Source organism: Homo sapiens, chromosome 8, assembly GCF_000001405.40.
Source record: "Homo sapiens chromosome 8, GRCh38.p14 Primary Assembly".
NCBI lineage: Eukaryota > Metazoa > Chordata > Mammalia > Primates > Hominidae > Homo > Homo sapiens.
This window is the reverse complement of record NC_000008.11, coordinates 86,502,436-86,526,311: the sequence shown is the minus strand read 5'-3', so window position 1 is coordinate 86,526,311 and position 23,876 is coordinate 86,502,436. Positions and strand designations below refer to the sequence as shown.

The following is a 23,876-nucleotide window of genomic DNA, read 5'->3' as shown; positions in this document are numbered from 1 at the left end:
TATTGCACTAATAGTAACAGATTACTGCATTACAGGAACAAGATCAAATTTGGGGTAATGCACACACCCAATTTTTTTTTTTTTGAGACGGAGTCTTGCTCTGTCGTCCAGGCTGTACTGCAGTGGCGCGATCTCAGCTCACTGTAGCCTCCGCCTCCCAGGTTCAAGCAATTCTCTGCCTCAGCCTCCCAAGTAGCTGGGATTTCAGGTGCCCGCCACCGCCCGGTTGAACCCTCCATCTGGCACTTGCTGTGTGACCACGTATAAGTAACTTCAACTTCCTGGGCCTAGATTTCCTCATCAGTAAAAATGGAGATAATGCAAGTAAATTTGTAAATCTGGCACGTGCCAGGCATACTGTTTTTTTGCATCTAATACAGAATCTGTAAAATAAATGTGAGTTGTATGATTTTTTTTTGCATAAGGTAGTTTAGAGTCTTGTAAGTTGTATGTCAGCAATATCAAGCATAATGCAGTGCCCTGTGGATGAACATAGAATGAGCAACAATAGCTAAAGCTTCCCCCAAAAAAACATGTAGAGGATTCTCTACCAGCCAGCAGAAAAGTCTTCAAATTTCCAAGGATGGGAAGAATTCAACAGAGAATGAAGACATCTACATGTGAAGTCAGTCTCACAGCAAAGAGACACCACATATCAGAAGAGCATTATTTTTTTCCCTAAAAATGCTTATACAAAAGCTACAAAAACAACATGCCAGGCACAGCTGATTATTTAACCAATTGCTGACAGTTATACTACTGCATTGCTGCCAGGAAACAAATTTCTTCTATTAGCAGCATTCCTCTCTGAAAAATGACTCTGTGCTGGTCTCAATGTTATCCTGAAACCCATTATGGCTGAATGGCAAATGGAAGAAATTACATAAACACTAGGGTCTGGAATCTTGTTAATGGTAATATTCATGAAGATACTGTTTTCATTTCCTTTTAATGTAATTATCCAGTACATGATATACAATTTTTTAAGAGAGCAATAGTATACTTTATCCACAAATCATAATGGGAGCTGGGCATATTGGCTCATACTTGTAATCCCAGCACTTTGGGAGGCTGAGGCAGTAGGATTGCTTGAGCCCAGGAGTTCAAGACCAGCCTGAGCAACAGAGACCTCATCTCTACAAAAACAAAAAATTTTAGGCTGGGCGCAGTGGCTCACACCTGTAATCCCAGCATTTCGGGAGGCCGAGGCAGGTGGATTATCCCAGGTCAGGAGTTTGAGACCAGCCTGGCCAACCTGGTGAAACCCCGTCTCTACTAAAAACACAAAAATTAGCCAGGCATGGTGGTACATGCCTGTAATCCCAGCTACTCAGGAGGCTGAGGCAGGAGAATCACTTGAACCTCAGAGGCGGAGGTTTCGGTCAGTGAGATCACGCCATTGCATTCCAACCTGGGCGACAGAGCAAGACTCCGTCTAAAAAAGAAAGAAAGAAAGAAAGAAAAATGAAAAAATTAGCCAGCCAAGGTGGCATGCACCTGTAGTCCCAGCTACTCAGTAGGCTAAGGCAGGAGGCTCACTCAAGTTCAGGAGTTCGAGGCCACAGTAAGCTATGCACTGCAGCCTGGGTGACAGAGCAAGACCCTGTCGCAAAAAAAAAAAAAAAAAAAATTATGATGAGGAAAAATAAAACAAACGTTTTATACTCTTTTAGTATGAAAGATTTGGCTGGGATAAGTCACCTGGCAAAGAATGCATGAGCAACTAAAGAAGAATTCTATGTAGTATTTTACTCCTTAAAGAGCAGGATAGAAAACACAAATAATCCCTAGGATTAGACAACAGCTTCCCTACTGTACAGATTATTACTTGTTGGACAAAATTTGATCCAAACACGTCTTCTGAAATGCAAATAATCCCTAGAAACACCAAATATATCAATAATTCTCCCAGTCACCCTAACGTTCTGAATCAATATTATAACAGAGATAAACATAAGGAGCTGAGAATTAAGACCTAATATTTAAAGTGGTACCTGATATGTGAAATTTAAGGCATCTGGTCATTCCCATGCCCTGGCTGAAAATCCTGAAGTCTTATCTACTTCCTCTTTTCCCATTCCTCCTTAAACCTACTCTTAGATTTATCCAGTAAAGATGTCATAGAGATTCTGCCTACTAGAACCCCAAATCTCTCCCAAACATGGAGATACAGCCGCTTTCCCATACCCAGAGTCACAACCCTAACTTCAGGTCTTCTGTATCTCTCACCTGCCTTATATAATAGTCTCCTAATGGGTATTCCCACTGCCATTTTCTCTCCATTCACATTATGGTTTTATCACTTCTGATTAAAAAGTGATAGTCCAATGAACTAAGCCTGGAATTCATGGCTCTGCCAACATCTACCCCTAATCTACCTGAACAGCTACCTCTGCCCACCCAAGTTCTTCAAGATCCACTTCAGGCCGGGCACGGTGGCTCACACCTGTAATCCCAGCACTTTGGGTGGGCGAGGTAGGGGGATCACTTGAGGTCAGGAGTTCAAGAACTCAGCCTGGCCAACATGGTGAAACCCTGTCTCTACTAAATATACAGAAATTAGCCAGGTGTGGTGGCAGGTGCCTGTAATCCCAGCTACTCGGGAGGCTGAGGCAGGAGAATCACTTGAACCAAGGAGGTGAAGGTTGCAGTGAGCCGAGATGGTACCACTGCACTCCAGCCTGGGCGACAGAGTGAGACTCTATCTCAAAACAAAACAAAACAAACACTTCAAATGATACTTCATTCATACAGCTGTTGCTGATACCCTGCTGATACCCCTCATGCTGTTATGGCACTGATTCTATTTTCTTTCCACTATTGTTACTTGTATTTGTGGCTCATCACTCCGTCTATATACTGTGAACTGTGGGCAGCGAACATATTTTACCACTTCCTCTTCTTCCTGAAGCATGACATCTGGCACAGGTTATTTGTAGCAGAAAGAGCAATAATGCTGGAGTCAGCGTGTGTCATTCAAATTTCTTTCCCATCACTAATTTGGATGTGTCACCTCTGCCAAATTGTCTATCTGAACTTCAATTTCCTAATTTATAAAATGGGGATATTAAAAAACCCTGACACTAGTCCTTCAATGTAAATAAGGCTAAGAGAGAAAAATAAACTTAATAAAAACCCTGACAACTGTAGGTCTGTAGCATGCTCAGCATATAATAGACACTCTATGAATTGTAGCAATTATTTTATTACTGAGTCAGGGATTTTAATTGATTGTCTCAGCATAGATGGCTTGTTATTAAGTAGTAAGACATAAAGCAGCTTTCTCATCCTTACTTATGAAAAGCTTCTTGAAACAATAATGATTTTTGGGATTTACATAAAATTAATTTGGTGAAATAGTCAGCCTTGAGTATAGATAAGGTACGCAGGTGAGGGGAGCGCAGGCTCATGTCAGTGACTCAAAATGTGTCCTAAAACAATTGTGAAGGAGAAGTCGGTGCCTATCTACAAATCCCTTTAGTAAAGTTCCTTCAGTCTTCAGCTGAAAAATGAAGAGACTGGCCTAATGTAAAAAATTCTCAGAAGTTCTTTCTGGTTCTAATACCATGATTCACTAACTGCTATTCTGCAGTACATCCTGCCTGACCGCTATTGAAAGCAAGCAAGGGCAACCCTGGGGCAGCTGGAACCGGCCCAGCAACATCAGCAAAACACACCCTAGGCAGTGTTTCTCAAATTGTGTTGCTCAGAATAGTAATAAGTGTTCCCCTACTAAAAAAAAAAAAAAAAAAAAAAAAAAAAAGCAGCGGGCGTCAGGTAATATGGCTGTAAATCCAAAGGCTGCTATGCTCCTCAGAGTTCCCAGGTCAGACTAGCAAATGTATTTATTACCAGGTTACTGTAAACCCATTATTTTGCTAAGGACAGCAGGGACATTATACAGCAACAGAAGCGCTTGTAGCTCATTATAATCAAATTGGGGAGACCCATTCATAAAACAATTACTTACTGAATACTTTCTAGGTGTTCCAAAAGTGAGGGTTGGGGGAGGCAAAAACGAAATAAATACTTAGCTACTTAGCTAACTATGTATACATAGAAATAGTATACAAGAGTATAAAATTGTGTGGTACAGACAGGGAACAATCAAAGTGCTCTTGGAGCTGAAGAAGCTCCCCAGAGATTTCTACTTTTACTGACGATTAAAACTATACTCCACTACAAAAAGAATTTGCAGTATTATTGCTACTGACTACCAGATTTCTTTTTCACCCTTACATTCAAGGGTAGACAGTAAGAAAGTGGGGAGTAGAAGAATAAGGGGAAAGAAAAGATAGTTAATAATTCCATACAACTGGACAGATTTTGTTTTTTTTTACAATTTTCAAAGTGCTTCCAAATAATATATTATCTTCTGAACCTTACAAAAACTCTGTGAGTTAGGCAGGATAATGATTACTACATGGTGGAAGGTCCATATGTCACAGGTATGACTATAATATAAGGCACTCCAGTGTCTGAATTGATTGACCCAGAATATGTTGATAATTTTCAGCACATTGTTAATCTTCAAAATAATGCATAGTATATATTAGGAAAAAAATATAAATTTCTTCAAAAAGGTTAAATTACTTACATGGGATCACAAAGCTAGTAAGTGTCACCACCACAGCATAAACCCAGGTATTTTCCCCTTTATGCCAAAATCCCTTCAGAGCACTAAAGCCTCTAATTAATAGTTAATTAGCTGTCAAGTAAAAATAGTATTAGTAAAAATAAATAAACTCCATAGATGTAAACAATTATGATTTTTCAATTAAAAACAATATCAAAAAATAGTTACTTAGTATAACAGCAATATTCTCTATTAATTTCCTTAAGTCTTGTTAATATCAAAAGTAATATTCAGCCTGACACAAATTAATAAAATAGGAACTTTAAAATTACAAGGTTAATACTGAGGCTAAAACTAGTTATATGGTTCTTAAACAAACGTAACCAGAATAACAAAAGCTTGCCAAAGAATGGAAGAACTGGAATGGTTTATATTTTATTTACCTCATAGCAGTTCCTCTTCAAGATAACCCATTAAATTGTAAATTACTTAAGGCTAAGAAAGCAAGTTCTCCTTGCTAGTGTGTCTCTACACACACAGGTCTGCCATGTGTGTAGGTGCCATTAGATCGTCTTAGAGCAGCAACATTTATTCTCAGGAATATACTGCACTTAATATCCAGACTCTGAGAGTAAAAAACTCACATTAAAAGAATTTAAACTACGCTTGTTCTGTATTTAGTAACAAAGTGATGCCCAGATGTATTTTTTTAATCACTACCACAGGATACCAGAAATGAAGATAGGGAATAATGTCAAGCATAAATATACATAAAACAAAACAAAAAAGAAACAAAAAGGAAGAATCACTGGATCAGGTGTCAAAAGAAATGGACTGGGCAGATCACCTGAGGTCAGGAGTTTGAGACCAGCCTGGTCAACATGGCAAAACCCTGTGTCTACTAAAAACACAAAAATTAGTTGGGCATGGTGCACTGTAGTCCCAGCTACCTGGAAGGCTGAGGCAGGAGAATCACTTGAACCCAGAGGTAGAGGTTGCAGTGAGCCAAGATTGCGCCACTGCACTCCAGCCTGGGTGACAAAGCAAGACTCCGTCTCAAAAAAAAAAAAAAAGAAATGCCTGGTTCTGTGTTAGTCACACCACAATGGCAGGCATTTGGGCAACTGCTGTAACTTCTCCAGGCTTCAGGTTTTTTCAGCTGTTAAATCTTTTTTTTTTTTGAGATGGACTTTCACTCTTGTCGCCCATGCTGGAGTGCAATGGAGATCTTGGCTCACTTGCAACCTCCGCCTCCTGGGTTCAAGTGATTCTCCTGCCTCAGCCTCCTGAGTTGCTGGGATTACAGGCGCTGCCATCACGCCCAGCTAATTTTTGTATTTTTAGTAGAGACGGGGTTTCACCATGTTGACCAGGCTGGTCTCGAACTCCTGACTTCAGGTAATCCGCCTGTAATCTGCCCACCTTGGCCTCCCAAAATGCTGAGATTACAGGCGTGAGCCACTGCGCCCAGCCTTCAGCTGTTAAACCTAAGAGTTGAGTCAATCCCTTTCTTTAAGTAATTCTTAAGGTCTTTTCCATTAATGTACTATAACCCTAATTTAATTACAGTGAATATGGAACTTGTTTAGGAAGTGGTACTAAAGGATTTTTTAAAATGAATAGAAAACATTAGAATATTTATAAGTACAAAAAGGAGAAATGGAAGAAAAAGGATAAAGTTTTCCAAACTCAGTCTCCATCTCTATCAAAAAAGCTATATCTGGGGCCAGGTGCGGTGGCTCACGCCTGTAATCCCAGCACTTTGGGAGGCTGAGGCGGGCGGATGGTCTGAGGTCAGTAGTTCAAGACCATCCTGGCCAACATGGTGAAACCCATCTCTACTAAAAATACAAAATTAGCTGGGCATGATGGCGCCCACCTGTAATCCCAGCTACATGGGAGGCTGAGGCAGGAGAATCGCTTGAACCAGGGAGGCGGAGGTTGCAGTGAGCCAAGATCGTGCCATTGCACTCCAGCCTGGGCAAAAAGAGCCAAATTCCATTTCAAAACAAAACAAAAAAAGCTATATCTGAAAAAAATGTATCTAGAAACTTCTCCACTAGTTAGGTACCTTTGCTCAAAATTGTTATTAAGTGCTCAGATGACTTAAATAAACAAACAAACCACAGGGCCCAGTCTATTAAGTAGATGCAGCACAATAAGGAAATAAATTTTATTAGCATCCATGAAATCTCACATTATTAAGCTCTTAGCATCTATCATGGCAGCAAAATAAATCAGCTTTTAGCCACACTTCAAAAAGTTTCCAGATTCTTAAACTATCTTGAGCAGGATCTAAATAGTGATACCATTGCTGATGCTTGGACATGCAGAACGGAGGAAAGCAGGAATTAACAGGTGTGATCACTCTAACTTCAAAAATAAAAAGTAGGTGCAGTTTTACCTTCTCTTTATCATTACAAAGTAAGCAATCAACTAAAGACCCTTCATTAATTTCTCTAAAATCCTGGTATTGTTCTATTCCATGATTCATAACTGGCTACAAAGTTTACTTAACATATGTTTCAGGTTTTACCACTTTTCTAATCCCTTGGCTACTGTATATACATTTTGGAAGTATCACTGATTGTATTTTCAAGTCCATCAATTCAACAGTTCATCATAGGTTCATTTAGTGAGGTATTAATAAAAGTTATTAATAGAAGCAGGGTTGGGCCAGGCACGGTGGCTGATGCTTATAATCCCAGTACTTTGGGAGGCTGAGGCAGGCAGATGGCTGGAGCTCAACAGCAGCCTGGACAACATGGCTAAACCCCATCTCTACCAAAAATACAAAAATTAGCCAGGTGTGGTGGGGTGTGCCTGTGGTCCCAGTCATTCTGGAGGCTGAGGTGGGATTGCTTGAGCCTGGGAGGTGGAGGTTGCAGTGAGCCGAGATCATGCCACTGCACTCCAACCTGGGTGGCAGAGTGAGGTCCCATCTCACAAATAAATAAATAAATATTTTTTTTTAAAAAAGAAGGGCTATCAGAACTTATTAGCTACCTAAGCAGAAAAAATAAAATTAAAGTTAAAAAGTTAAAAATAAGAACTTACTAACATCAGTGTTGCTAAAGTTGGTATACACCCCCTACTGCTAAATTTGACTGGCTTAAGAAAAAAAGAAGCAGTGGTGATGTCTCACTACTGTCCCACTTTATGGAACATGCATCTTGGCAAAGCTGGCTATAAAATACATGTCTACAAAGTGAATCACCGTTTACCCTCAATGAAAATCAGTGCTGCATCCCCTAGCTGAAAATCCCAAGTGTTCAGTTGAAAAGTTTTCCATTATAAGGACTAAGTAAAGCTGCTGGCCAGCTGTGCAGCAGGCAGGCTGGATCTGATATTAAGGTACACCAACCTGTGAAGACTGAAGTCTCCTGGGGTTCTCATTCCCCTCAGACCACATTAAGAATTTCCCCCCTTCTGGAATTTCCCAGATGTTGAACCAGCCACCAGAACCTCTCACCTGCCCTGGTGTCCACCATGCCCCGACTCTAAATGCATGCTTTCCAAAATTTGACTCCTTTCCTTTTCTTTGTAGGGGAGCATGTATATTTAATTGGGCAAGATGGGCACTTCACAATTCATCACCGTGTGCTCCTTTCTAGTTCACGGTGAACAAATAATCTAAAAATGCCTTCAGTTTAAAGCAGCAACAACCACAACCATGTGGTTCTCAAGGTTTAAAAAGTTTGTATATTGGGCAAAGGCTGTTGAGATGTTTATACATTTCCTGATTTCAAGAATATTCATGTCCTGGTTGCTTAACACATCGTTTCAGCTGTTTTTAATTAGGGCAAATCCCTTTATATTTCCCAATCATGAGCAGTTTAATAGTACTATTAATTCATTCAACACTTATTGAACAAATATTATAGATTGCCTACTGTGTGTCAGGCACTGTTCTAAGGTGCTGGAGAGCCAACAATAAACAAAGCAGGCCACCATCCCCATCAGGGAGAGGTTAGTTACACTGCAGGAAGGCAGACAACAATGAAGACAAATAAGTAACATATATAGTATATTAGGTGGCAGTAAGTGCTACAGGGAACAATAAAGAAGGAGAACAAGAAGTACTGAAGGTGGGGTGCAATTTTACATATTTTATAAAATTGTTTTGACAATACCATCAGGAAGTATTTGTCTTAATTTTCACTTCTTTTTAAAAAATTCTGACACATAAACATGAAAATGTGGACAGATAAGTAAGTTCCTCTTTACAGTTGCAGGTACCTCTTTTAACAGGTACTGACCGTCACCTTGAAGTCTAAAGGCGTGGTAAACTAAAAGCCAGGGAAGGTGAAATAGCCGGATAACAATGTGTCCAGAAAACCACACAGTTGCTCTGGTAATTTTCACAGGAACTAGATATAATACAACCATTTGCAAGAGACATTTCAAAATGATTTACTAAAATGAGTATGTAGTATTTCCTTCTTTTTTTTTATGAGGAAACTTACTAATATGCTATCCACCTAATTCATATTGGTAAATGTGACCATAATACTGATGAATTTTAATGTCTTTTAAAAAGTTATGATTGCATACTGCTAAGCTGTTATATTAAAAGAATAAATAGTCTCTCCAAAAAAAACCCCAATACGATTCCCACTCACAAGCAAGAACAAGAAGGGAAAATATTGGTGGGAAGGAAGCTAGATTGTAGGCTGAAGGTAATGGTGGGTACAGTAAAGGAATGCTCTAGTTAGGACTCCTGCAGGTCACTGAGTACCACCAATGGAAGTGACATTGAGTCTTGCTAAAAGATCCACCTGAAATATCATGCTTTGGTGAGCAGTGGTGGCATTATGAATCTTTGAAGGTCAAATGACATATAATCATTTTTCACATCTAACATTAACTTTTATAGTTTTGCTAACAGGCATACTTTCTAGCATAATAAATCACTGACTAAAGAACATTTGAAAGGGAGGAAAAAAGAGAAAACTCTAACAATAGTAAGAAAAAAAGCCCAGTGATAGTACCAAAAAATAAAGAAGGCAAAGGAAACAATGGATAAGCCATACCAAGAATTGATAGGGCCGGGTGTGGTGGCTCACACCTGTAACCCCAGCACTTTGGGAGGCCAAGGCAGGAGGATCACTTGAGCCCAGGAGTTCAAGACCAGCCTGGGCAACATAGTAAGATCTCATCTTTATTATAAAATAAATAAATAAGTAAATAAAAGAATTGATAGGTGTTGGAGTACAATATGAACTAGGTACCGAAACAGATGCTGCAAGGGAAATACCCAGGGCAGCAGTGATACCATCATAAAGAGCATAGAAAATAAAATATTTTAAAATGTATAATAGGTTGCCATAAACTTATATGAAAATGAAGACCATTGTCTATAAAGTGTTCACAGTTATAGGTAAAATTAGAAGAGGTGTCCAGTCATTATGCAACCCTTAATGGCAAACACTCCTTCTGTTTCTCCCGTCCTGGAGCCTCCTCTCCCTTCCTATTCTTCAGGGACTAGACCTGAAAGAAGAAATCCTGAAAGAGAACTGCAGACTTCATTGTGGGGTTTGTGCCAGGCACCTTTTGGTCTGTGGGGTCCTAAAATTCAGCTCCACCTCACATCTAGAGTCTCAAAATGATCCAGTCCCAGAGTTTGAAATTTTTCAGCCCAGAGTGGGATGTATTTTTCCAATTCATCAGCCAAAAGGAACTGACCTATTAATAATTCTCGCAAAGGCAAAAAGTGGCCCTGGGTACCACAGATCAATGACTGAGACATCTATTGTTGTCACTATAATTGCCATTATATATGTCATCTGTTTTCAGTTCCCTTTTCGTTTCCCATCCTTTGCTGTTTCCCTCTACCTATGTTCTAGGCTTGCACAAGTTCTGTTTGGCTCTGGCTGGCAGCACACACAGAGAGCTAGTTTGCTGACCCTTATTAATGACATCAGGATATATGTGGCTATATATAGCTTACCACTAACTACGTGTCAAGCACTTTGCTAAATGTTTTACAAGTAGGATCTAATTTAATTCTCATAGCAACCTTGTGACATTTTATCTCTATTTCACAAATGCAGAAACAGGCCCTAAAAGGTGAAGTATCCTGCCCAAGGTCATACAGCTAACAGCCCTCATAGCATAGATTTGAAACCTAGGTATCTGGCTTATCCCAAAGAATAATGTTCTTTTACATTAAGCAATAAAGCCTGTGCCCTAAAACCATACGGACTTGAATTCCAAACCCTAATGCCACCACTTACCAGTTGTGTAATTTGATGAATTATTCAACCTGAGTTTCCTGGAGAATGAAACAGAGTAACATCACTTTAATAAGTGCTTGGGAGCGTTAAATAACCTAACATATAAAAACTGTCTAGCACAGTTGTTGTGGGACATTGAAATCAAGTCACAATATTCAATCCCGCCCTTCCCTCTATTTGATTATCCATTATAGAGGTGGCCTCACAAAGACAACACTAAGGATATGCAAAAAGTGCAGATGATCATTAAGTGCAACATAAATGGTTGATCTGCTCGGTCCCAACGGGTTCTGGCCGTGCGCTTCCTCCACAATCCTGGTGTAGGGAACCCAAAACACTAGACAGAAGAATCTTGAAGCTGGAGGAGAAACGGGAGCTGCTAGACTACTTCTCACAATCTCCTTGTTTACCCTGAAATCAAGAGTCACCTCTTCCCACTCCATCTGCCAGCTTCTCGGGTGCTCTGAAGCGCGCGCCCCCCGCTCAACTGGGCATTGGCTTCACCACGGACGTGGTGTGGGTACCCTATCCCTCTCCCCGCGTGGTGCTGCAGCGATTTCGGGACCTGTCACCCTTCTCTGGGCCACAAGCCCGACCCTCTCCGCCCAGGGAAGGAGGGCGGATCCCAGCCTATCCCCAGCCCCAGGTGCGCGAGCGCCAGGCCCAGGCGGGGCCTTGCGGCCCGGAGCTGAGCCCCGAGCCCGGGCTCCTCCAGGAGGCGTCGGCGGTGCCTGGGTCCAGCCAGGCCGCGACCTAGCTCGGGAGCCTCCCCGCGACCTGCCGATCCCCAGCTGCGCGAAGCCCACGGAGCACTTCCAGCAGCAGGGCCCGGCGGGACCTGCCGCACGGAGCCTGCGGGCTCGGATCCTCCAGGCCAGGACTTTCCTTTTCCCCCGGGCGGTACGGTTGCTGGGCTGCTGCCTCACCGGCCCAGGAACTGGGAGACGCCCGCACTCACGTGGGAGTCTTAGAGGTGGAAGTCGAGCGACGGTGGAGAACAGGTTGGCAGCGTCCGGAGCGACGCTGGGACCGCAGGGATTCAGGAGAACCTAGGGCTGGACTGGCAGAGCAAGGGGGCGGGGAGGGGGCGGGGATGGGGCGGGTCCAGTGCGCGCCCGCCCCGCACAGCCTGCGCGAGGATCAGCCCATCCGCAGGGAGCTGACTCCGGGCTGCATGTCAGCTCCTTGCCAGTAGGCTGGCGCTTCGAGGCCATTCTGGAGGCCAGTCGCTTACTGAAAAGGCAAAACTGACTTTAAGGTAAGTGGTTTGGTGCACCAAAATAAATTCCTTAAGGATTAAATAATTTAAATATTTGAGAAAATTTATGCCATATCTGAACTGAGAAGACTGGGCGCAGTGGCTCACACCTGTAATCCAAACATTTTGGGAGGCAGAGGTGGGAGGATGGCTTGTGCCCAGGAGTTGGAGACCAGCCCCAGCCTGGGGCAAAAAAATGAGACCCCCTCCACCGCTACAAAAAGTAAAAAAAAAAATAGCTGGGCGTGGTGGCACGCGACTGTGGTCCTAGCTACACAGGAGGCTGAGGCAGAAGGATCACGGGCTCAGGCTGCAGTGCGCCATGTTCGTGCCTCTGCACTCCAGCCTGGGTGACAAACAGACCCTGTCTTAAAAAAAAAAAAAAAAGTTACCAAGACAAATTATCAACATGAAAATAGCGAAATACATCTTAGCTGTTAACCATGCTTATATGCTTATTTAGGGCATTCTTAATGTGCACACTACCAAGGACATTTTATATCCTTCATTACCTTTAATCCTCATGATTCTGTGATGTATTTGGTGCCAGTATACCCATTTTACAAATGAAAACTGCAATTGAGTAACATGAGATTTGGAAGCTAAATAATTGGCCTACTTTTCTGAAGTCACACAAATTGTAAGTAAACTAACCTCAAAGTGCAGGCTGGACTGCTTGCTACTCCATGCTGCCTGCAGCTAAACAAAACACTATGGAAAATATTGATACATGACTGCTCGATAATTTAGAACTTCTTCCCAAGGAAACAGGGACAAAATCAATAAAACACATTGGGAAAAATATTGGTCCCAAACCTGACAGAGTTAGTATCTTAAGTTCATTTATTTTTTATTTTTATTTTTTTGAGACGCAGTTTCGCTCTTGTTGCCCAAGCTGGAGTGCAATGGCGCGATCTCAGCTCACCACAACCTCCGCCTCCCGGGTTCAAGCGATTCTCCTGCCTCAGCCTCCTGAGTAGCTTGGGATTACAGGCATGTGCCACCATGCCCAGCTAATTTTGTATTTTTAGTAGAGCCAGGGCTTCTCCATGTTGGTCAGGCTAGTCTTGAACTCCCGACCTCAGATGATCCACCCACCTTGGCTTCCCAAAGTGCTGAGATTACAGGTGTGAGCCACCGTGCCTGGCCTCTTAAGTTCATTTAAATTGATAAGAAAAAAAAAAACACCCAATAGAAAAATGGGTGAAGGTTTTTTTTAATTACAGAAGAAATGGAAAGGGTATCAAATGAAGAAACACAGACATTCTTAAGTAAAAACTTTACTCTTAATCCAAGAAATGCAAACTAAACATTTTTATTTTATTTATTTTTAAGAAATGGGGTCTCACTATGTTGCTCAGGCTGGTGTTGAACTCCTGGGTTCAAGTGATCTGCCAGCCTTGGCCTCCCAGAGTGCTGGGATTACAGGTGTGAGCCACCGTGCCTGGCCTGCAAATTAAACATTTTTAAAATCGTATCAGTGCCAGTGAGGATTCATTCATTTATTCAACAAACACTATGTGCATTGCTCTAGACTTGTGAGCAAGACAGACAGGAACTTCTATCCTAGAGGACGGTTGAATCTTAAGTTAGTTGTTAAAGACAAATGAGATTTCAGCCAGCCAGAAGTGCCATGAGAAAAGTTAAGGCAGGGTGATGTGATAGAGGGACTTGAGGATAGTGTGAGCTTATTTAGACTGGGGATCTGAAAAGAGCTCTCTAAGATGGTATTTGATCTGAGATTTGAAAAATAAGCAGCAGCCAGTTATGCAAATATCTGGGGCACAGGAATGGTAGCAGGGGCAAAGATAAGAACAAACTGCCAGTGCAGAAACAAGGCCTTTGTTGCTGAAGTGTACTGGGGAGGTACTACAAGTGTTTTAGTTTTTACTAAAGGTTTCTGGCTCTATTTTTGATTCTACTTTCACATGTAAATGAAGGTTCTTAGGCACCACTAATTGGATTGCAAGTTTCAAATTTTCCAGAATATATAGTATCCATACCTAACCTTCAAAACTTTTCTTTACACTAAAATAGGGAAAGAGTAGAGGCAAGGGGATGGTTTTGTACTTTTAGTATCCAAACAGCAATCTATCATCTAAATACATAGTGCCATAGCTATTCAATGTATTTATTCATTTTCCTTAACTACAGTCTAAATCCCATTCTACTTTTGTTCTCATTCATTCACCCATTAATTTAACATGTGTTGAATTCATGTTAGATACCAAGCCTAACAAGGTTCTAGAAATAAAACACCACCTGGTGGAGAGTTAAATGCATGTTAAAATGAAAGATATTCACAAAATATTCTTTCTCCTATGTATTTTGATCCTCATATTTCTACCTTCACTCTTTCAGTCACATTTTTAATTACCTCATCCTGTCTTATAGCTTTTTTTTTTCTTTTTCTTTTTTTTTTTTTGAGAGACAGGTTCTTGCTGTCACCCAGCCAGGCTGGGATGCAGTGGTGCGAATACGATTCACCACAGCTTCAACCTCTCAGGCTTTAGCCTGAGGCGATCCTCCCACCTCAGCCAGTAGCTGGGACCTACAGGCACGAGCCACCGTGTCTGGCTAATTTTTGTACTTTTTGTAGAGATGCGGTTTCACCATGTTGCCCAGGCTGGTGTCAAACTCCTGAGCTCAAGAAATCCACTGGCCTTGGCCTCTCAAAGTGCTGGGATTACAGGCATGAGGCACCACGCCCAGCCTTAGTCTCAGAGCTTTGAATTCCATCTATATTTTCTCTCTCTTTTTTTTTTCTTTGAGACGGAGTCTAGCTCTGTCACCAGGCTGGAGTGCAGTGGTGCGATCTCGGCTCACTGCAAGCTCCACTTCCTGGGTTCACGCCATTCTCCTGACTCAGCCTCCTGAGTAGCTGGGACTACAGGCACCCGCCACCACACCCGGCTAATTTTTTGTATTTTTAGTAGAGACGGGGTTTCACTGTGTTAGCCAGGATGGTCTTGATCTCCTGACCTCGTGATCTGCCCGCTTTGGCCTCCCAAAGTGCTGGGATTACAGGCGTGAGCCACCGTGCCCGAACTTCTTTAATTTTCTTTTCTTTTTTTTTTAAAGACGGTGTCTCACTCTGTTGCCTGGACTGGAGTGCAGTGGTGTGATCACCGCTCCCTGCAACCTTGGACACTTGGGCTCAAATGATCCTCCCAGCTCATCCTCCTGAGTAGCTGGGACTACAGCATGCACCACTACATGCAGCAAATTAAAAAACAAAAACAAAAACAAAAAACAAACAACAACAAGAAAAACATGTTTTTGTAGAGACAGAGTCTCACTGTGTTGCCCAGGCTGGTCTCAAACATCCTGGGCTCAAGCTGTTCTCCCGATTTGGCCTCCCAAAATATTGGGATTACAGGTGTGAGCCACTACGCCCAGCCTATATTCTTAAGGTTATCAAACTTCCACACCTTTCCTCTGAAACTCCACACTCCAACTCTCTATGCTTTACTTGGCTGTTATATTAGTTATCAGTTGCTGTGTAACAGATTACATCAAATTTAGTGGCTTAAAACAGGAACAATCATTTATTATCTGTCATAGCTTCTGTGGTTTAGGAATTTAGAAGTGGCTTAGCTGGGTGCTTCTGGCTCATCATCTCTCTTGATGTTGCAGTCAGATATTGGCCAAGGCTGCAATCATCTGATGGCCTGACGGGCTGAAGGAGTTCTTCAGCCCAAAAGTTCAATTGTGCCAAGGCTGAGAAACCCTGCTTTAAACCGATGGGACTATACATTTAAAAAATACTAATGTCGTGAAAGACCAAGGCTGACGATTTAAAGATTTAAAGAAAGTAGAAACATAACAAATGCAAGACATTATCAAGATTTGATCTTGAATTTAGAAAAAAAAATCATTAGTATAAAGGACAGTATTGGGAATTAAACAAAATTTGTATATTAAATAATAGTATTCTGTCAATTTCAGTTTCCTGAATTTGATAATTAAACTGGGACTAAGTAAGGGAATGTCTTGTTTCTAAGACTGAAGAGTCATGATATCTGTAATCTACTCTCAAAAGGCCTTACAACAGAAAATACTAGGAATATAATATGTGTATTATAGGTAAGATATGTAAAGAAAGATAAAGCAAATGTGAGAAAAAGGTAACAATGGCTGAATCTAGCTGAAGAATATATGGGAGTTCCTGCAACTTTTCTTAGGATCTAATTTTTTTTTCAAAGCTAAAAACTTAATTACAAATTCACTCTAGCAGAGATATCAGAAACTTAATTTCACTGTTATCATGGTATCCAGTGGCATAAACATTTAGCAATGTTGAGGGGGTAGCTGCCAGTAGAAATGCATAAAATAAAAGTGATTCTGTCTTTGGGAAAAAACAGCTAGGTTTCAGAAGTTGGGAAGGAGATCTATATATTTTTAAAGATAGACTTTAAAGACATAATCCTAAAGAAATACAGCTGATTTAATGGGACTAGTGGAGGTAGCAATCATATAGTAGAAGGAGCACTGGACTCAGAGTAGAAAGACATGGATTCCTGTCTTCTAACATATCCTTGGTTAGGTTAATACATCTCTTTGAGTTACAGTTTTTTCATTTGTAAACCTGGGATACCACTTACTTCACAAGGTAGTTCGGAAGATCAATACGACTATGTATTAATTCCCTATACAGTATTAAAAGTACCATAGAAATGCAACCTAATTTTTTAAAACCATGACTCGCCTCCCTTATTACCCATAAGATTTTTCGTTAAACCCATATAGTAGGTACTCCCTTTGCAGTCTGTGTTTCCACCCACCCTGATCAGGCCTCAAGTAGGATCCAAAATTTCTTCATTTTCCCACAAAAGAATTCCACTCGAGCAAGAAATTTTATTTTACTCGAGTAAAATAAAATACTTTGCTCGAGTAAGTAAAACATCTTATTGAAGAATTTTAGGGGAGACCAGGGTTTGTTTTTGTTTCTGTTTTTTACTACACATGCCCTAGCATTCAAGGGCATCAGTATCCTTTCCAGAGGCCTCCTCCCGCTAGTTCCTCTTCCCAAAACGCTTTGCATTTTTTGTTTCTTTGCTCTGGACTCTCTCTTGAATCTACCCCCTTGAGTCGCTCAGTCGAAGAGACTGAGACTTTCCCTTCTTCATGTTGGGCAACATAATTCTTCCAATTATTTACTTCCAAAAAAGACCCACTAGTACCAAGATTCAATCTACTTTTGAAGGCAGCAGATAATTAAAATGACAATTTTTTTTCTGGCATACTTGTATTCTCGGGTCTATTTCCGAGCTTTCAGTTCTATTCTGGCGACGAATCCTTGTGCCCAAACCATGAAAGACCCCCTAGAGAGATGGAGCAGAAACAAGTCAGAGCGCCTGAAGAGAGCGCTCTCACGGCCTCAGTCCTGGACGCAGGCGCGGAAAGTCCATTAAGTCCCACCCAATCGGGGTATTTCCCACCCCCTAAGCCCGTGCACCGGAAACCATGGGGGCGGAAGAGGTGCTGGGCAGGAGGCGGAAGAGGTGCTGTGCAGGAGGCGGGCGGGCGCGGTTCTTTCCGGAAGGATTGAATCTCCTTTAGCCCCGCCCGCCTCCGTAGCTGCCTGAAGTAGTGCAGGGTCAGCCCGCAAGTTGCAGGTCATGGCGCTGGCTGCTCGACTGTGGCGCCTTCTGCCTTTCCGACGTGGAGCCGCCCCGGGGTCTCGTCTCCCTGCGGGGACTTCGGGCAGCCGCGGGCATTGCGGCCCCTGTCGATTCCGCGGCTTCGAGGTACCCCCGTGGTCCTGGCTCCCGCTCCTCACTTCCTACTCAGTGGGTTCCGGCTCCCCCTTAACTTAAGTGGTGGCGGCCCCGCGCTGCCTAAGGAATGTGGTGAACCGAGGAAAGAACTCGGGGCCACTGTGCCTGGAACGCCCGGACAGGTCCCTTCCATTTTGCAAACCTCCACTATCCTTAACTGGGGCTGTCAGAGAAGGAGTGGGGTTTGCCCCCACGCGCCCCAGAAGCTGCCTGCTACCCGCCCTTCTTGTGCGAAATGTAAAACAGGACGGGAAAGAACCTTGACCGCTGTGAAATTATTCTCCCTGTAGGCGATGACAGATACAACAGCGCTTGAGGCTGCCCCTTTCAGACTTTGAAAAGTGTGGTGTGTGATTTAAAAAGTTCTACGACTCAGAAGCAGAGATTTCATACTGTTTAGGTTTTTGTTTAAAAATGTTTATTTCTCAGTTGCCCGTTGTATCTGCATAACGTCAATGAAGGTTGTCGGCATGTTGTAGTCTCAGTTCTGGTATTTCTATTAGACTGCTCGTGGGCCTCTGTTTATTCTTGTCAGGGAATTGGAATGGCATTAATGCATATGATATATTTCACATGAACTAGGGGTTTCATTATTTTAAACTCAAATTTTTAACTGCTCAGTTAAAATCTTTCAGAATTATTATGGGACTGATGGTGGGGAGGGGTGGTTAAAATTTGGCATATTCCCCTTCCTTGGAAGTTTATAACCAAATGGGGAGGTTATAGATAATATAGGCAGAGAGATGGGAGGAGTTCTAAGTATGAAACTAGTTAGCCGTAAGTTTTCAAATTGGAACAATGATGAGTTTGAAGTCCCATTTTAGGCCTGGCCCCTTGGCTCAGCCTGTAATCCCAGCACTTTGGGAAGCCGAGGCGGAAGGATTGCTTGAGTCCAGGGGTTTGAAACCAGCCTGGGCAACACAGTGAGACCCTGTCTCTACAAAAAAATTTAAAAGTTAGCCATGTACATTTTTATATGTAGTAATTACTATATATGATAATCTTGTCTGTAAGATTCATTTTTATTATGTGTTGGTGTCTCATATTTTACTTCATACAATTTGCAATATCCATGCATTTGCAAATAAGTTGTAGCAAATAAGTTGTAGCTCTTCCTTTCCAGCAGGAGTGTGATTTTTAGATGAGCGGCGACTCCAGGGGATATCTTTTTCTCAATAAGATACGCTTTGAGATAGTTTTACTAAAGATTTTGATGAAGTAATTTTTAAGCTTCCAGTATTATGATCGATTGCTTTGGGGGTGGGAGAAAATTCATGTAATTTTTGCTTGGGGTAGCAGTACCTTCAAATTTTCAAAGTTTGTAACTCTTAACATAATTGTTTCCATAGGTAATGGGAAACCCAGGAACTTTCAAAAGAGGCCTTTTACTCTCAGCTTTGTCGTATTTGGGTTTTGAAACTTACCAGGTTATCTCTCAGGCTGCTGTGGTTCATGCCACAGCCAAAGGTAAGCATAAATTAGATATATGGAACATTTAGAGTTTTTTTGTGTGCGTACATTCAGAATTTTTATTTTAAAACAAAGAATCAGGGTAATGTTAATAATAGAAAATCCATATGGAAATATTCACAATCTGCTCAGTGAGAAATGGGAAAACAACTTCCCTGCCTAACTGCCAACCTACTGTTTGAGGAGCCAGAAGTTGACGTGAAGTTGGAAGAAGGTCACCTTTTCCAGCTAAACCCCACTCCATAGCTATGTGCATTTTTATTTGAAGTCTCCGTGACCAGAGGAAACAGTGAGAACTGAGAACCAAGATACCGTTATCAGCAAGGGTTTGGCTAAAGGGTCTGAGATGTGTAAGCACCAAGAAGGGGAAGGGAAATTGAGCAACATATGAAAAAGGGGCTGTAGGAACACAGAAAAAATAAGTCAACAATAACCTATTTCCATCCAGAGCAAAGGGACAGTGCACACATATTCATCCTCTCAAGTGTGGGCTACACTGTACATTGACTCATACTATCTCGAACATGGTCTGTTGGAAAGATTGAGACCCCCTAAGGGCACTTGGCATAGGACCACAGTGACATGGTAACAGACATAGACAAGCATGGCATGACCCTAAAGGCAACAACACACCTTTAGATAATAATCGTTCAGAAAAAAATCCCAGAGCTGAGGTTATAAATTCCAAGTTAGCTATAAACATTCTTTGGGGAATTCCTTTAAAGATATGAGTTAAAATAAAACAAAATCAACACCTAAAATCTCCTAAAGCACAAAATGGAGAAATAATGAATCTCTACCAAGAACTGATTATTTTAAGTTTCTCATTTGGATGGCTCTCCCACCAGATAGGTGGTGGGATTACTTCAAAAGTAATGAGTCTCCTACAAGGAGGAGTTGTTTGGTCCAGTGAGGGGGAACAAGCTTTCTAGAAATAACTTTCCCTTCCCTTGACTCCATTCAAAATTAGAACCCATCAACCACCATTAACTACAATGCCCATATTAGTTAATAATCCTAGATTTCAAGTACTACTACATGTAAACTATTAAAAGAAAAAAGTTCCAAAGGAAATCAATAACTTTATTATGTAGGCATATGACTTTTATGGGAAATTAAGAGTTTCCATCTGAAGGACAGAAATTGTCAAGAGGTAATGTGCAGACTTCAGGCACCACATAATATACCCTCCAATAATGAACTACATTTCTCCCTAAATTCTTCATATTGCACGCTAACCTCCCCAGCATGAAATCTTCTACTGTATAACCTCTCTTTAAACACCTCCCTCCAATCTCAATTTCCTTCTGTTTTTATTATTTGGCAAAATTACACTTAAAAAAATAAACATTTCCATCATGGGACATGTATACCTATGTAACAAACCTGCGCATTCTGCACCTGTATCCCAGAACTTAAAAAATTATGTAATTAAACCAGAGGGTAAAATAAATAAAACTCAAGTTAATTTGCCTTGTAGAGCTATATGGAAGTGAGGAAGGTGCTCTTACATAAACCCCGTCTGCCTTCCACACTCATATGTATATCTTCTTCCTGATAAGTCTGAGGTTGGGGGAACTGCGCCTTACTTTTCCTCTCCTATATCCCCTAGTGCGGCAATATTAGAACCCAAGGAAGGAAAAACTGGCAAAGTTGTCATATGCCAAGTGGCCATTGCCTCCTGAAATGAAGGTAGGTTCACTTGGTCTCTCCTAAGCAGAAGAGAATGTCCAGGAAATAAAATATTTAAAAAACCATTGAAAATCCAACAAACCCCAGCCTTGAGGTGCGCATGGAGTGCGTGGGATAAGAAAGGAATCAAGTAGCAGCATTCAGAAGCAGTCCTGGGTTCATCCTGATGAGGTCTCTCATTCAGGGAGAGGTGGCTTTCCCATGCTGGGAGGGAGGTGGAAGGAGGCATGACTTAGACATTGGTGGTGGTCTCCTTAGCAGCCTGGATGCTGTTCATCTCCATGATGCCATCCTTCCCAGATCTATCTGCACCATGTGCCTGCCTTTTAAAGGCCCATGTGATATCCTCAAAAGCCCTGCCATGGGTCTCAGGGACTTTGAAGAAGGTAAAGGTCAAGAAGGTGATGAGGAAGCTGGCGAAGATAATAAAAATACAGGCTCCTAAATAATAAGCAGCAGAGGGGAAGAGCAGTCCGACTAAGAAGTTGGAGGTATAGTTGGAGCAGCCGGCCATTGCAGTCGCAGCTGGGCGGGGGCCCTGGCTGAAGAGTTCGGCCACAATAAACCAGGAAATGGGACCTGGTCCAATTTCAAAGGCCACAAAGACCAAGATAGCCCCGATAAAGACAAAGCTCATCCCATTATACTCATCCTTTAATAACAAACAGTCATGAGCATGGAACAAAAAGCCATCCCTCCAAGGCCTATCATATGCAGGGTCCGCCTTCCTGCCCTTTGCAGCAGAAATAGGGAAACTACAGTGAAGATAGTATTAAACACACGTGCACCAATGGTGGCATAGATGGGCTCTTGAACACCTGCATCCTTGAAGATTCCTGTTGAGTAATAGAACACAACATTGATTCCAGAGAGCTGTCGAGAGAGCTGGAGCACAATGGAAATGATGATTGGCTGTTGGTAGCTGGATACTCTAAAGAACTCCAGCACGGTGACTTGCTTTTCTTGTGACATCCTTGCACTCTCATCTTGCATCTCCTGGTTGTCTTGGGATACATCCTGGGTGCCCCACAACTGCTGGAGGATCTACTTAGCATTCTCCTCTTCTTTTCTGTTAATGAGCAAAAACCTGGGACTTTCAGGGCAAAATGGAAGGGCTGCACTTTGTAGGATAGCAGGAAGGATGGTAAAGCCCAATAATACCGGCCATAGCTCTTCAGACCCAAGGATGAATTTGAATTCCAGACCAAAGATCTGGGCCACCAGAATTCTGACAATGATGCCCAGCTGGTTGAGAGTGCCAAAGGTACCCTGCAGGGCAGTAGCTGAGATCTCTCCAATGTACATGGGCATAAAACCTGTGCACAGTCCACAGAAGAGGCCAATAACCAAGCAGCCCAGGGTCAGCATTTCAACCAACTCAGCTGCTTTACACAATCCCATAAGGCAGCCACCAGAGACAGCCAACAGGTTGACGATAAGCATTGAATTGCACCTGTCAAAAAGTGGTTGATAAAGAGTCTAACGGAAAAGGAGCCAGTCATACCAACAATGGAGAATATGGCCACAGACAAGGACCAGAGGGACGTGAGCAACATCTCAGAGGGAGGGATATTTGCCTGGTCACTCAAAGTGTTATTGATAAATTCCTTTATGATCATCTCAGGAGCACTGATGACTCCCGTGTTGTAGCCAACTTGGAAAGAGCCAATTGTAGCAACTGTAATGGCAACGATCAGAGCTGGGGTGACCTTCTGTGTCCGCATGGTCCTAATCTAATTCTTTTCAAGTCTTCAATAAAGATCTAGGAGTGTGATTCCAGAGATAACTTTTTCAGGCAACAAAACCTTCAAAATGTCCTTCTCAGAAACGAGTTTTCTCCAGGTCCTCAGGAATGCTCTAAACTCTCACCATTACAGCATCTCTCAAGTTATTTTTGTTATTTTTTTTTGTTTTTTTTTTTTTTTTTTGTTTTGTTTTGTTTTGTTTTGAGACGGAGTCTTGCTCTATTGCTCAGGCTGGAGTGCAGTGGTGCGATCTCGGCTCCCTGCAACCTCTGCCTTCCAGGTTCTAGCCATTCTCCTGCCTCAGCCTCCTGAGTAGCTGGGATTATAGGCACGTATCACCATACCTAGCTAATTTTTGTATTTTTAGTAGAGACGGGGTTTCACCATGTTGGTCAGGCTGGTCTCAAACTCCTGACCTCATGATCTGGCCGCCTCGGCCTCCCAAAGTGCTGGGATTACAGGCGTGAGCCACCGCACCTGGCCTAACTTAGTTATTTTTATATAGGTAATGGAGCTAACATTGCTGTGGTCTAGATTATTTTCTGCCTTTCTCTATGTGTCTGTCTAATATCATGTATATATATTTTTTCCTAGAAATTAGAGCTGCCTCAGTGATGCTTTATTAACGGTTTATATTTTTGTAGAGCCCTTAACCTAAGAAGAATATTCTTTTACATTTTTAAAGGGTTGAGTTTGAAGAGTTGGGGGGAAGAAAAAGAACATGCTACAGAGACCATGTATGGCTCACAAAGCCTGAAATATTTTATTCTCTGGATCTTTACAGAAAAAGTTTGCTAATCCCTGCTTTATAGTGACAAAATGAAACCAATCCCGGGGTGTTATATTCTTCTTGATTTGGTTAACAAAAGGCTCTAGTACTTTGAGATAGATAGATTTTATTTACAAACAGAATGCTGCTTGGTAAGTAACAAGTTGAAAGCGAAAAAAAGAAAAATCCATCAAATTTCTTATTGGCGTAATATAGATAAGTAAACGTATATTAAAACTTGGCTGGGCATGGCGGCTCATGCCTGTAATCCCAGCACTTTGGGAGGCTGAGGTGGGAGGATCACTTGAGCCCAGGAGTTTAAGACCAGCATGGGCAAAGTGGTCTTAAAC

At 42.0% G+C, this 23,876-nt stretch overlaps 2 protein-coding genes and 1 pseudogene across 44 annotated transcripts in view, besides 5 other annotated features; 1 reads left to right on the top strand and 2 right to left on the bottom strand.

Annotated features, from left to right (window-relative positions):
* CPNE3 (copine 3) overlaps positions 1–11,877 on the bottom strand; it is a 47,064-nt gene extending 35,187 nt beyond the window's left edge. The window contains exons 1-3 of one of the 7 annotated variants that reach the window (XM_047422394.1): positions 11,771–11,877; positions 10,813–11,170; positions 1,315–1,435 (exon numbers count right to left, since the gene is read on the bottom strand). The gene's annotated coding sequence lies outside the window, so the exon portion shown is untranslated. Of the gene's footprint in view, positions 1–1,314; positions 1,436–10,812; positions 11,171–11,650 lie in introns of all 7 variants that reach the window. The other 6 variants (XM_017013945.3, XM_047422393.1, XM_024447322.2 and 3 more) reach the window with 6 other exon arrangements.
* Positions 2,855–2,904: an enhancer, noted in NCBI's record as "active region_27598". NCBI's record gives its function as "activates an Ori minimal core promoter by ATAC-STARR-seq in GM12878 lymphoblastoid cells {active_cell/tissue: GM12878}" and the evidence as "EXISTENCE:reporter gene assay evidence [ECO:0000049][PMID:35858748]".
* Positions 2,925–3,024: an enhancer, noted in NCBI's record as "active region_27597". NCBI's record gives its function as "activates an Ori minimal core promoter by ATAC-STARR-seq in GM12878 lymphoblastoid cells {active_cell/tissue: GM12878}" and the evidence as "EXISTENCE:reporter gene assay evidence [ECO:0000049][PMID:35858748]".
* Positions 11,369–11,708: a silencer, noted in NCBI's record as "silent region_19343". NCBI's record gives its function as "represses an Ori minimal core promoter by ATAC-STARR-seq in GM12878 lymphoblastoid cells {active_cell/tissue: GM12878}" and the evidence as "EXISTENCE:reporter gene assay evidence [ECO:0000049][PMID:35858748]".
* Positions 11,829–11,908: a silencer, noted in NCBI's record as "silent region_19342". NCBI's record gives its function as "represses an Ori minimal core promoter by ATAC-STARR-seq in GM12878 lymphoblastoid cells {active_cell/tissue: GM12878}" and the evidence as "EXISTENCE:reporter gene assay evidence [ECO:0000049][PMID:35858748]".
* RMDN1 (regulator of microtubule dynamics 1) overlaps positions 11,955–23,876 on the top strand; it is a 46,092-nt gene continuing 34,170 nt past the window's right edge. For 20 of the 37 annotated variants that reach the window (XM_047421832.1, XM_047421839.1, XM_047421830.1 and 17 more), the window contains exons 1-2: positions 17,626–17,820; positions 19,200–19,317. In XM_047421832.1, coding sequence (XP_047277788.1) covers positions 17,692–17,820; positions 19,200–19,317 — 247 coding nt within the window. In that variant the 5' untranslated portion in view covers positions 17,626–17,691. Of the gene's footprint in view, positions 12,071–17,625; positions 17,863–19,199; positions 19,318–23,876 lie in introns of those variants that run through there. The other 17 variants (XR_007060734.1, XM_047421828.1, XM_011517095.3 and 14 more) reach the window with 2 other exon arrangements.
* Positions 17,712–17,881: an enhancer, noted in NCBI's record as "active region_27596". NCBI's record gives its function as "activates an Ori minimal core promoter by ATAC-STARR-seq in GM12878 lymphoblastoid cells {active_cell/tissue: GM12878}" and the evidence as "EXISTENCE:reporter gene assay evidence [ECO:0000049][PMID:35858748]".
* On the bottom strand, positions 19,365–22,896 carry SLC2A3P4 (solute carrier family 2 member 3 pseudogene 4; annotated as a pseudogene).